Raw genomic sequence first — 12,709 nt, forward strand, 5'->3', positions numbered from 1 at the left:
ATATGATACATATACATATATGATATATGTGATATATACACACATGTATATACGTGTGTGTGTGTGTGTGTGTGTGTGTGTGTGTGTGTGTATATATATATATATATATATATATATATATATATGATAGCTAACATTGGCTGAGTGCCTTCTCTCTGGGGTGAGCACTGTGTGATAGGATAGCTAACCGGAGCATTTTCTAGGTGCTGGTTACTGTTGAAGGTGCTTTTCATGTATTAATTGGTTTAATCTTTCAACAACCCTATGAGATAGGTACTGTTCTCAACCTGCAGATGAGAAAGCTAAGGCATAGAAGGGGTTAAGTAATAACCAAGGTTGCTCAGTGGTAAGTGGCAAAGCCAGGATTCAGACACAGTCCATCTCCAGATGTTACTGTTTAAAACTTGATCCTTTATAGCCTTTGCTACTTTGTTAATTCTAAGCACTTAATACACATTATTTCAATTAATCCTGGTGATACCCACTGTGGTATGGGGAATGGGTAGTACCAAATGATGTATGTCACTTAAGTTCCTAGTACACCATGTGTTGAATTTAACAAAACTGAGTCAAAGCAGAGGATAAATAGCTTGATATAGCTGTAGCAGCTAGGGAGAAGACTTAAGATTCAAACCCAATAATACTACACTAGAATTTGGTTGGGTGCGGTGGCTTGTGCTCGTAATCCCAGCACTTTGGGAGGCCGAGGTGGGCAGATCTCTTGAGATCGAGACAGCCTGGGCAATATGGTGAAACCCTGTCTTTACAAAAAATACAAAAAGCTACTCAAGGGGCTGAGGTGGGGAGGTTAAGGCTCTGGTGAGCCGAGATTGTGCCACCACACTGCAATCTGGGTGACAGAATGAGACCCTGTCTTTAAAAAAAAGAATCCTACGCTAGAATTGATTACCAACCCTTAAACTCAACTATCAGCTACCAGCTGTCTTAGTAGTCAAACTTATTTTCTAGGTTTAATTATCCATAAACTAGTCTGATAATGTCTTTTAAAGGTTGTGTCCCGTATTTATTTTGAGAGGAATTAAAATTTAAAGTTTTAAATGGCATGGAATAATGATCTCAACTTTTGATCATCTTCCCATCTGTAAAGTAGTAGGTACTTCCACTATATGTATATTTACGTTTATGCACGTGTTACTGCCTTTGGTGTACTAAAGCTTACTTTTTGTCAAACTTCGATACTGGAATTATGCCTAAAAGTTATTTCTTATATTGTCTAAGTGGATTATCAATTTCATACTCTACTCACGCACAGCTAGATAATATGCTTTGCTCATCATAATCTTGGGAGCACAGATTTTTCTGTATTACCAATGAGAAACCTTGACTTAAGAGATAAGAAATCGTTCCAAGGACATGTGGCTAATATATTGTAGAGTAAGGAATCTGTTCAAAGGCTATGGCTTTCCCATTATTCTCCAATGCTATTTTCCTAAGACCCAGCAAATTAGTTTTGATATCTAAGGTAATAGTTCACAAAGCTTGGTTCATCTTTGCAATTGCCTGGTAAACTTAAAATTTCAGGGCCTCATCCAAACCTACTAAATCAGAAGGATAAGAGAATTTTTGAACCACAGAAGCAGTCCTATTGTGATGCCTGCCTAGCAGAATTGCTAAAGAAATAATTTTTTTTCTTTTTTTTTTTCTTTTGAGACGGAGTCTCACTCTGTTGCCCAGGCTGGAGCACAGTGGCACGATCTCGGCTCACTGCAAGCTCCGCCTCCCGGGTTAATGCCATTCTCCTGCCTCAGCCTCCTGAGTAGCTGGGACTACAGGCGCCTGCCACCACGCCCGGCTAATTTTTTTGTATTTTTAGTAGAGACGGGTTTCACCATGTTAGCCAGGATGGTCTTGATCTCCTGACCTCGTGATCCGCCGCCTCGGCCTCCCGGAGTGCTGGGATATTTTTCTTTTTTTTGAGACAGAGCCCTATTCTGTCTATCTGGCTGAAGAGCAGTGGTGTGATTATAGCTCACTGCAGCCTCGAACTCCTGGGCTCAAGCAATCCTCCCACTTCAGCCTCCAGAGTAGCTGGAAGTACAGGCCTGTGTCACCACGCGTGGGTAATTTTTTATTTTTTGACAGGGTCTTCCTCTAGTGCTCAGGCTGGAGTGCAGTGGTGCTATCATGGCTCACTGCAGCCTTGACCTCCCAGGTTCAATTGATCCTCCCACCTCAGCCCCCTGAGTAACTGGGACTACACATACATGTCACCATGCCCTGCTAATTTTTGTTTTTTGTTTTTTGTTTTTTTTTTTGAGACGGAGTCTCACTCTGTCGCCCAGGCTGGAGTGCAGTGGTGCGATCTCGGCTCACTGCAACATCTGCCTCCCGGGTTCAAGTGATTCTACTGCCTCAGCCTCTTGAATAGCTGGGATTATAGGCACCCGCCACTGCGCCCAGCTGATTTTTGTATTTTTAGTAGGGATGGGGTTTCACCATGTTGGCAAGGCTGGTCTTGAACTCCTGACCTCAGGTGATCCTCCTGCCTCGGCCTCCCAAAGAGCTAAGATTACTGGCGTGAGTGACTGCAGCCAGCCAATTTTTGTATTTTTTGTAGAGACTGGGTTTCACTATATTGCCGAGACTGGTCTCAAACTCCTGGAGTCAAGTGATCCTCCCTGCTTGGCCTCCCAAGGTGCTGGAATTACAGGTACACAATTTGTTTTTTAGTGAATGGTGTATGTATCTGACTTTCTTTTTTCAGAGATGGGGTCTCACTGTGCTCTCCAGGCAGTTTTTGCTCTCCTGAGCTCAAGCAATATTCCTGCCTCACCCTCCAGAGAAGCTAGGACTACTTTATTTTTTTAATCAATGAGTAGCTTGTTGTCACAACTTTACTTACTGGATTATCCATTCTTCTCCCTGCACACCACTCCCCGACCTCCCTTCTCTCTATGCCCAGAAATCAGAGATGTTGCCTTTATCATATACGAAATTTCTAAATATGCCTATTCATGGGTTTAATAATTTGTTCCATTGACCTCCCTATTCCATCACATTGCTTTCAATGTAAATAGCTTTATATTTAAGTTTGACATCTGATAAGGCAAGTCCTCCCTGTACCTATTCACCTGCCTGAGAGTATGTTCTTTGTTCCTATATGAGCCGCCAGCTTGTTCTTCAGTGTTATACCAAGTCATGCTTCCTCCAGCAAGTTAATTACTGTTTTCACTGCACCCACACAAAAATGGAGTTTTGAACTTTTGACTTATTTGTGTGACGAGTATTTAAATCCAATCCCTTCCCTTCCCTTCCTTTTCTTTTTTTTTTAGAAGGAGTTTCGCTCTTGTTGCCCAGGCTGGAGTGCAATGGCACGATCTCGACTCACTGCAACCTCCGCCTCCCGGGTTCAAGCGATTCTCCTGCCTCAGCCTCCTGAGTAGCTGGAATTACAGGCATGTGCCACCACACTTGGCTAATTTTTTTTGTACTTTTAGTAGAGATGGGGTTTCACCATGTTGGTCAGGCTGGTCTTGAACTCCTGACCTCAAGTGATCCACCCACCTCAGCCTCTCAAAGTCCTGGGACTATAGGCATGAGCCACCACACCCAGCTTAAGTATATTTTCCTTTACTCTCAAGCAACCTCTATGAGAGAGCCCAATCAATCCCAGCTCTTGTCCTGTGTTGCTTACATACTAGTTCTGCTACATTTGACAAATTACCTAACCCCTCTTAGCTTATGAATGAACTGCAAAACAAGGGCATTAGATTTGCCTCTTAACGTTTTGAGTCAAGCCTGTTATTTTGTTGTTAAACTTTTATTTATTTAAAAATAAATAATATGTTCATGTAAAAATTTAAAATTATAGACACTGAAAAGAATGCTCTCTATCCTTGTCCCCCAGCCACCCAGTCCCATCCTTGGAAGTAACTAGTATAATTTTTGTATTCTTCCTTTAAGGTGTTTTATGTATATACACATATATGTAAATGTGTACTATATATGTACATATCTTATGTATATAAAATATATATTCATTTTTTCTTTTTCAAAAAATAATATTCCATACATAACATTTGACACCTTGCTTTTTTACATTAACAATTGGTCTCTGGGATTAATCTATAGATAAAGACACTTTAAGACTGTATAATGTTCAATTATATGGATAAGCCATAATTTATTTCAGGATGCACCCCCAGCAATGATAGATATTTAAGTTATTCTAACCTTTTTCTATTAGAAACACTTCTGCAATGAATAAATGTATGCATAACTAAATATGTACATTTGAACAAGCATATCTATAAGATAAATTCCTATAGAACTGCTACGTCAAAGGGTCTGTGAATTTTAATCATGCATGTACGCAGATACAGACATGGATCTCCAAGTTGTCCTTCATTGAACTCCCATCAGTTTTATTTATTTATTTATTTATTTATTTATTTATTGACACAGAGTTTCAGTCTTATTGCCCAGGCTGGAGTGCAGTGGCACGATCTTGGCTCACTGCAACCTCCACCTCCCAAGTTCAAGTGATTCTCCTATCTCAGCCTCCTGAGTAGCTGGGATTACAGGTGCTCGCCACCACGCCTGGCTAATTTTTGTATTTTTAGTAAAGATGAGGTTTCACCATGTTGACCAGGCTGGTCTCAAACTCCTGATCTCAGGTGATCCACCCGCCTCCAAAGTGCTGGGACTACAGGCATGAGTCACTGCGCCCAGCCAAAAGGTCCATGAATTAACAGTCCTACTAGCAATGTATTTTTTTTCTTCTTACTCTCTGTAATGCAGGATGTTATAAAGTTCTTATTTTGCCAATCTGATAATTTTACTCTTTATCATGATGAATGAGGATGAGCATTGTATGTGTTTAAGACTCTTTTTTTTTTTGAGACAGGTTCTTGTCTGTCGCCCAGGCTAGAGTGCAGTGGCACCATCAGAGGCTCACTGCAGCCTTGACATCCTGGGCTCAGGTGATCCTCTCACCTCAGCCTACCGAGCAGCCGGGACTACAGATGCATGCTACCACGCCCAGCTAATATTTGTAGAGACAGGGTTTTGCCATGTTGCTCAGCGTGGTCTTGAACTCCTGGACTCAAGTGATCTGCCCACCTCAGCCTCTCAAAGTGCTGAGATTACAGGCATGAGCCACCTTGCTTACCCTTGTTAACTGGTTATTCCTATTCACTTAATATCTTCTGCCTATTTTTTGACTGAGTGCTTGATCTTTTATGACTTCTATTTATTAAAGAAACTAGTTCTTTGTGTTTTTTTTCCCTCTAGTTTGTCATTTGGGTTTTGATTTTGTTTATGCCTTGCACTTGTAGAAAGTCATTTTGGTGTATTTGAATTATTAAATGTTTTTCTTTATGCCTTCTGGGTATGACGTTAAACTCTGAAAAGTCTTCTCCAAAACTTAAAGTTTCTTCCACGGTTTCTTTAGGTATTTTTATAGTTTGGGTTTTTCTTTAAAAAAAAAACAACAGATTTTGATTTTGGCTCCATCTGTAGATTTTCCTGTTAAAAGATATAAGAAATGTTTAAAATTCCCCTACCATCTTATAGATTAAGCCTAAGTCTTTAAGACACTTAAAATTTCGCTTGCGAAATGCCCTTTCAGTCTCATTTAGCCTGAAGACATGACTTGGAAAAACATCAATGGTTATTTACTTACCTGGCTTGAATGTCAGTTCAAAAGGCTAGTTTATTATAGTATTTTTAAGTCACGCATTTTTTGAATATGGGCTAGGCACTGTTCTAGGCACTGGATATACAGGGATGAATAAGATCGGGGAAGCACACAGTAAACAACTAAATTAATAGCATGATTTTAGATACAGATTGGTGTTATCAAGAAAATAAAGACAGACTGGGCACAGTGGCTCACACCTGTAATCCCAGCACTTTAGGAGGCTGAAGTGAGGATCACTTGAGCCTAGGAGGTTGAGGCTGTAGTGAGTGGTGATCATGCCACTACACTCCAGCCTGGGTGAGAGCATAAGACACTGTCTCAAAGGGGAAGAAAAAGGGTGAAGCCCAGTGTCTCACACCTGTAATACCAGCATTTTGAGAGGCCAAGGCAGGAGGATCCTTTGAGGCCAGACGTTTGAGACCAGCCTGGGCAACAAAGTGAGACAATCTCTTAAAAAAAAAAAAAAAAAGCTGGGCGTGGTGGCTCACGCCTGTAATCCCAACACTTGGGAGGCCGAGGCGGGTGGATCACAAGGTCAGGAAATCGAGACCATCCTGGCCAACGTGGTGAAACCCCGTCTCTACTAAAATATAATGGTGCACGCCTGTAGTCCCAGCTACTCTGGAGGCTGAGGCAGGGGAATTGCTTGAACCCGGGAGGTGGAGGTTGCAGTGAGCTAAGATCACGCCACTGCACTCCAACCTGGCGATAGAGTGAGACTCTGTCTCAAGAAAAAAAAAAAACAAAAAAACAGACAGAGAATAATGTTCAAATAATACGTTGAAGATGTATGAAACCATACATAGGCACTGACTTGTTCAACTGTGAATATACATTCCCATGCTTCCCTGCTGCCTCAACTTTGCTCGGCTTGTAATGAAATCTCCTGTAGCTCTGCACATAAATGCTATCCACACTTTAAGACACATGACAACTACATACATCATTCACAGTGTGCCAACTTTGCTTTTAGACTGGCTTCCTTTAAGCCAGAATGGCTGCTGCAGGCCCATATTGGGTGATGTCCATTGGCAGAAAAAAGAGAGCATCTCTTTTGGTATCTTCTGAAGAGCAAGTAAATCTTTCTCCAAAGTGCTTCATTACATCGTTTCACATTTCTTTTCTTTGTTTTATTTTTTTTTGAGACAGGATCTCACTCTGTCACACAGGCTGGAGTGCAGTGGTGCAATCATGGCTCACTGCAGCCTTGAACTCCCAGCGTCAAGCAATCCTCCCATCTCAGCCTCCTGAGTAGCTGGGACTACAGGTGTGTGCCACCATGCCCAGCTAATTTTTGTATTTTTTTGTAGAGATGGGGGTGTATGTGGGGGGGGTTATACTATGTTTCCCAGGCAGGTCTTGAACTCCTGGGCTCAAGCAATCTTCTCACCTCAGGCTCCCAAAGTGCTGGAATTACAGGTGTGAACCACAGAGGCTGGCCCTTTCACACTTAGGCCAACAGGAATTTATCCCTCAGCTAGATATGGGTTTACCTTTCCCTGGTCATAGCATGAGAGAAGAACACTGAGCAAGATCAGAGGCTGTTTGCAAAGAGCATGTGAAAGGGGCTGCTTCAATACTTAAGGCGTTCAGCCTTGTACTGTAGTAATCTACATAAGATGCTTTCCCATTAATTTCAAGGCTCTTTGAGGAAAGCTTGTCTTATATATCTTCATGTTTTTCAGCACTTAGCCCAGTGCCTTGCACATAATATGCATTAACTCTTTTTTTTTTTTTTTTTTGGAGATGGAGTCTCACTCTGTTGCCCAGACTGGAGTGCAGTGGCTCAATCTCGGCTGACTGCAATCTCCGCTTCCCGGGTTCAAGTGATTCTCCTGCCTCAGTCTCCTGAGTAGCTGGGACTATAGGCGCACACCACTGTGCCCAGCTAATTTTTGTATTTTTTTTTTTTTTAGAAAAGACGGGGGTTTCACCATGTTGGGCACATTGGACTCAAACCCCTGACCTCGTGATCCGCCCACCTCGGCCTCCCAAAGTGCTGGGATTACAGGCTTGAGCCACCGCACATGGCCTGCATTAACTCTTTTATTTGGATTTAAAAATTCCCCAAAGTGAATTTTTATTGGATAATTTTTTTTAATGTGTCAATGATTTGAAGCTCATGGATAATTTGAAATTACTTATGATACTTTGGCTTTATAAAATATTTTCTTCTAAAGCTTCAAGGTTCCATATTTAATTTTATGCTTGCTTTCATACTTTATGGGGCAGAGGGAAAGAACTGCTATGCACAATCTTCATTACACATGAAGAAACATTTATTTGATAGCTTGTTCAATGTCTTAACAGTTAACAGGCAAGAGAATCTAGATTTTCCGAATCCCAGTCCAGAGCTATTCCTACTGGTGCATATTGCCTTTAAACAGATCACTCCACTCCTCCTTTACCTGAAATATTCAAGTATTTCATGTAACTGTTATTGTTGATCATGCTTTTTGTTTTTCTTTTCTCTCTCCTCCTACCCCGGACAAATTAACCCTAGTTATAAAATTTGTCTTGTTTGGAGGTACGTAATCTACAGGCTGACAGAGGAATGAAAATGTGAAGGTTATGAGCTAGAAACATTCTATCCCTAAAGAACAAGGTCCTTCCTATGAACAAGGCCAGGGTTGACATCAGAATGCAACTTTATTGGACTTTTCAAAAACAACGAATGTGCATTTTGTTCCCGAATTTAACACCTACTCATTCACGTTTTTTGTTGGTTTCAGATGGGTTGAAACAGTTTAACAAATCTGGAATTAAGAGAAAGTGAAGATGATTCCATTCAACTATAGGTGACTATTTACAGCTCAGGGAAATATCACACAATCTGGGAAATGTAAACGTAATCCTTGCAGTAAGTGAGGCGAGTTATCTATAGACCAAGAGGCCTCCCTGGGACTCTGCTATCTCATAGACCCAACCCATCTCTCTAAGGGAGGCAACATTTACGTGTCACTTGTCCTAGGCTCTCGTTGCATTTAATACAAGTTGAGCATCCATAATCTGAAAAGTCCAGAATCTGAAATGCTCCCAAATCTGAAACTTTGAACATCCACATGATGCCACAGGTGGAAAATTCCATACCTGACCTTCTGTGACCGGTTGCAGTCAAAACTTTGTTTCACGCACAAAATTATTTGAAGTTTTATAGGCGCCTGCCGCCACGCCTGGCTAATTTTTGTATTTTTAGTAGTGATGGGATTTCACCATGTTGGCCAGGCTGGTCTGGAACTCCTGACCTCAAGTGATCTGCCCCCCTCAGCCTCCCAAAGTGCTGGGATTACAGGTGTGAGCCACCGCTCCCGGCCTATTTAAAGTATTGTATAAAAGTAACTTCAGGCTATGTGTGTAAGGTGTATAGGAAACAAATGCATTTCACATTTAAACTTAGGTTCCATCCCCAAGAAATCTCATTATGTATATGCAAATATTCTAAAATCCAAAATAATCAGAAATCTGAAAGTGTTTTGGTCCCAAACTTTAAGATGAGGGGTACTTAACCTGTATAAGAATTTGTGATTTGCACGTCTCTGTTGCTGGAGTCAAGGCAATTTGTAGTGAAGGACTGAGCCTTATCATACTTGTACATTAGTGCCTACCATATAGTGGGGCTTAATGAGTATCTGTTGAACGAATAATCTTTTCATATGTAGACGCTGGTTCTGGGAGGGCAAAATTAAGTCCCTATTCTTGAAGAGTTACCAGTCAATACATCTTCCAGAGAGAACCAACTTCCTGTTGTTAAACCCTTCAATGCCTAGTTCTAAGTCACTGACAATTACTCAGCTAGAGACCCACTCAACCTCTCCTCTCCTCTCAAATTCCATTTCTGGAAGCTGTTACATGGCCCTTCCCTCAGCATTCTCAATACACCTTCTATCTAGGGACACTTGATGTTTTCTTCTTTTGGAAATCATGCTACTGTATGCGTTTTTTACTTTTTGAACTGTCTTCCCATCTGCTATCCCAAGGCCTCCCTCACCCCAGATAAAAGATTCAAGGTTTCTAAGCAGGAAAAAAAGTTTGCGAAAATGCTGTGGTTTCTTAAGAGAGAACACTTAAAATTTGCAACAAAGGAAATGTGGAATCCTGTAAGATGTAAAACCCTCACCACCTGTCAAGGACTACTAATTTCCTCCTCCTGCTTCTGACTTGAAAAACACGAGCTAAATCTGTCTGCCTAACGCACAAAACCAGATGTCCACTCTTCATCTCACATAATTGACATCTGCGTCTTTTATCTACGTAAACAAACTTGTCATTGAAAAAGTCCTTGGCTTTGAAGTCGCCGGATGGCGTAAATAACACTGACACTCAAATCCCCCGTCTGATTTCAGATTGGGTCGATTTCACGCAGGTTCTATAGAATTTGCCAAGACTGCTGGCCTGTTTTCTACCCTGATTCCTTAGGTGGCTTCTGGGACAGAATTACGGTTCTCTAAGTATTTGCTTGCAGGTGGGTTTACTGAAACGGTCGCCACTATACGAAGTTCGTTCTTCCCGTGTAACTAACGAGAGCCCATACCAACGTGCAACGCAGCCGTGCACACTGCCGCAGCGGTCGCTGCGATCACGACCTTTCAAACCGCCCCGCAGCCCTCGCAAAGAGGCTCGTGGCGCCCGCCTTCCGGTGCCTCAGTCCCTGCCAGTAGCCACCCGACGCCGTCCGGCTGTTCCTCGTTCGCCCTCTCCCTCCGCCTAGCCCGCTTCTACCCGGACGGCTCCCGGCGCAGGCTGCAGCTGTTCCGTCAGCTGCCGCTCCTCCTCCCAGACGCAGAGCGCCGCTCTGCCCCGCCCCCCGCGCAGGCTGCCGTCCCTACATCCGGGTACCGACTCCAGCCGCCTAGACGCTGGCACTATGGTCATGGCGGAGGGGACGGCAGTGCTGAGGCGGAACAGGCCGGGCACCAAGGCGCAGGTACCATGTCTGCACTTTTCTTGTCGGGCAACTAGGTGCCGAGCAGTGCTGCGCCCGGAAGCTGGCCGCCACTGCGGGGAGGTTGGGCCGAGGCGGCAGGCGGGCGGGCTGGGGCACTGGTGCCCGGCCTGCTCTTCCGGAGCTGCAGCCCCTCAATTTGGCTGAGGCGGTGGCGGCCGCCGTGAGGCCTGCGGAGCTCCGACCCAGGGGTAGGCGTGAGGGGCGGGTGGGGTCTGCTGGTGGTACCTGCCTGCCGAAGCCCTGGGCTGCGAGCCTGTCAGCAGCAACGGCTTCTTCTCGCCTTGCCCCTGAGCCCCAGCTGACTAGCATTGGAGGGGCGCGACCAGCCTGGTGGAGACCCCCGGGGTTTCCTGAAGGTCGGGGCCGCTGAGGTGGGAGGGGGTGTAAACACAGCCTACCTCGACCCGGCGTCCAGTTCCTACCTGGCCTGGGAAGTACCTACCCGTTTCCTGCCATCCAGCTTGTCTAGCCGGATCCGGGTGCCGATATTCTCCTCCTTGTTTCCCTTTGACCACCTCTCCCTGCCGCTTTCCCTGGAGCTGTTCTCTGGTCCAGCAAGTTTTCATCACTAAGTTGTGACTTGTTAGATGTCATTCCTTGCTAATATGCGTGAAGCATAGTCAGAGAATGAACTGATTATAATTTTGTCAGCTTTTTTGTAGGGCATTATGTGTGGTAAATTGGTGCTTGATTAGGCATTGTTTCTTAGGGTTTGGAAAAGATGGGATGCCTCACATTAAAAATAAATAAATAAAATTGGCATCCAGACTTGAACTGATTAATTGCTAGCCGAAATGGCTTGCTATAGACTAGATGCTCTGAAATCGGAAGAGATGTGTTTATAAAATGTTAAAAAGTGATGCAAATGAAAATTGAAACAAAACAATCGTGGAGCTATGATTGTATGTCTGAGAATAGATTTTAATTTCTTATACAGAATTATGGAAAGAACACCTTTCGAAGGGGGCATACAGGTATTGATTACCTCCCCAGATTCATGTTACAGATAAGGAAACTGAAGCCCAAGAGAATTAAGTGGATTTGCCCAAGGATACATAGTCTCCTGATTCTTAATTCACTGGTGACCTGTTCTCTTTAACAAGCTGCTTCTAGTGCTGAATTTCAGAGAAAATTTTAAAGTCTTATTTTGGAGTCACATTAAGCTGTCAGTTATTCCTACTGACAGTTTTGTTTTCATACTACTGGAAATTTATCCGTTACATATGCTTGCTTTTTACCGTTTCCACACTTTTCTTCCTCATGCTCTTTTCTCAGATACCTTTACATCTTATTCTGTGGAAACATTGTTTCTGATTACATTTTTATGTTCAGAAGTAGACTTTTCTGTTCATATTCTGAGAGTCATCTCATTTATTCATAAGTTCTTAATTTTGAAAGGTTAGAAAATAAAATATTTAATATCGTAACATACTTGCTATGTTGCTGTAAGTCACATAGAAGAAAACTTATTGTCTTTTTTTTTCACATTGTCATGGATCAAGGTTGTTAGATAAAATATAACAGAAAAAGGATAAAAAATGAAAAAGACTGCTTACGCCGTAGTTTGTCCTATCTTGTTTATCACATGAATTTCGTTTAGTGAAATGGATCTGTTCTAAAATGATATATTTAGAACCGTATCTCCTTCCCTATTGGGTCAAAAGAAAAAAAATTAAAAACTATAATAGAGGGCTGGGTGCGGTGGCTCACGCCTGTAATCCCAGCACTTTGGGAGGTGGAGGCAGGCGGATCATCTGAGTTCAGGAGTTCAAGACCAGCCTGGCCAACACGGTGAAACCCCGTCTCTACTAAAAATACAAAAAATTAGCTGGGCGTGGTGGCGGGCGCCTGTAATCCCAGCCACTCGGTAGGCTGAGGCAGGAGAATCGCTTGAACCCGGGAGGCGGAGGTTGCAGTGAGCCGGAATCGCGCCATTGCACTCCAGCCTGGGTAACAAGAGCAAAACTCGGTCTCAAACAAACAAACAAAAAACTATAGGAGAGTAGGTGGAGTATCTTCCTACATTAAAAAAAAAGTTGGTTAGACTGGAATATAGGCACATAGTTGGTTTTCTTTTTTCTTTTTCTTTCTTTCTTTCTTTT

At 42.9% G+C, this 12,709-nt stretch overlaps 2 protein-coding genes across 5 annotated transcripts in view, besides 1 other annotated feature; both read left to right on the plus strand.

The window, feature by feature from the left end:
- The window catches only part of HSPE1-MOB4 (HSPE1-MOB4 readthrough), a 53,321-nt gene that overhangs the window by 5,182 nt on the left and 35,430 nt on the right, over positions 1-12,709 (plus strand). The window lies entirely within an intron of this gene.
- MOB4 (MOB family member 4, phocein) overlaps positions 9,994-12,709 on the plus strand; it is a 38,146-nt gene continuing 35,430 nt past the window's right edge. For 2 of the 4 annotated variants that reach the window (NM_015387.5, NM_001100819.3), the window contains exon 1: positions 10,506-10,586. In NM_015387.5, coding sequence (NP_056202.2) covers positions 10,527-10,586 — 60 coding nt within the window. In that variant the 5' untranslated portion in view covers positions 10,506-10,526. Of the gene's footprint in view, positions 10,125-10,505; positions 10,587-10,737; positions 10,796-12,709 lie in introns of those variants that run through there. The other 2 variants (NM_199482.4, NM_001204094.1) reach the window with 2 other exon arrangements.
- Positions 10,345-10,564: a silencer, noted in NCBI's record as "silent region_12215". NCBI's record gives its function as "represses an Ori minimal core promoter by ATAC-STARR-seq in GM12878 lymphoblastoid cells {active_cell/tissue: GM12878}" and the evidence as "EXISTENCE:reporter gene assay evidence [ECO:0000049][PMID:35858748]".

Source organism: Homo sapiens, chromosome 2, assembly GCF_000001405.40.
Source record: "Homo sapiens chromosome 2, GRCh38.p14 Primary Assembly".
In the NCBI taxonomy this organism is placed as follows: Eukaryota; Metazoa; Chordata; class Mammalia; order Primates; family Hominidae; genus Homo; species Homo sapiens.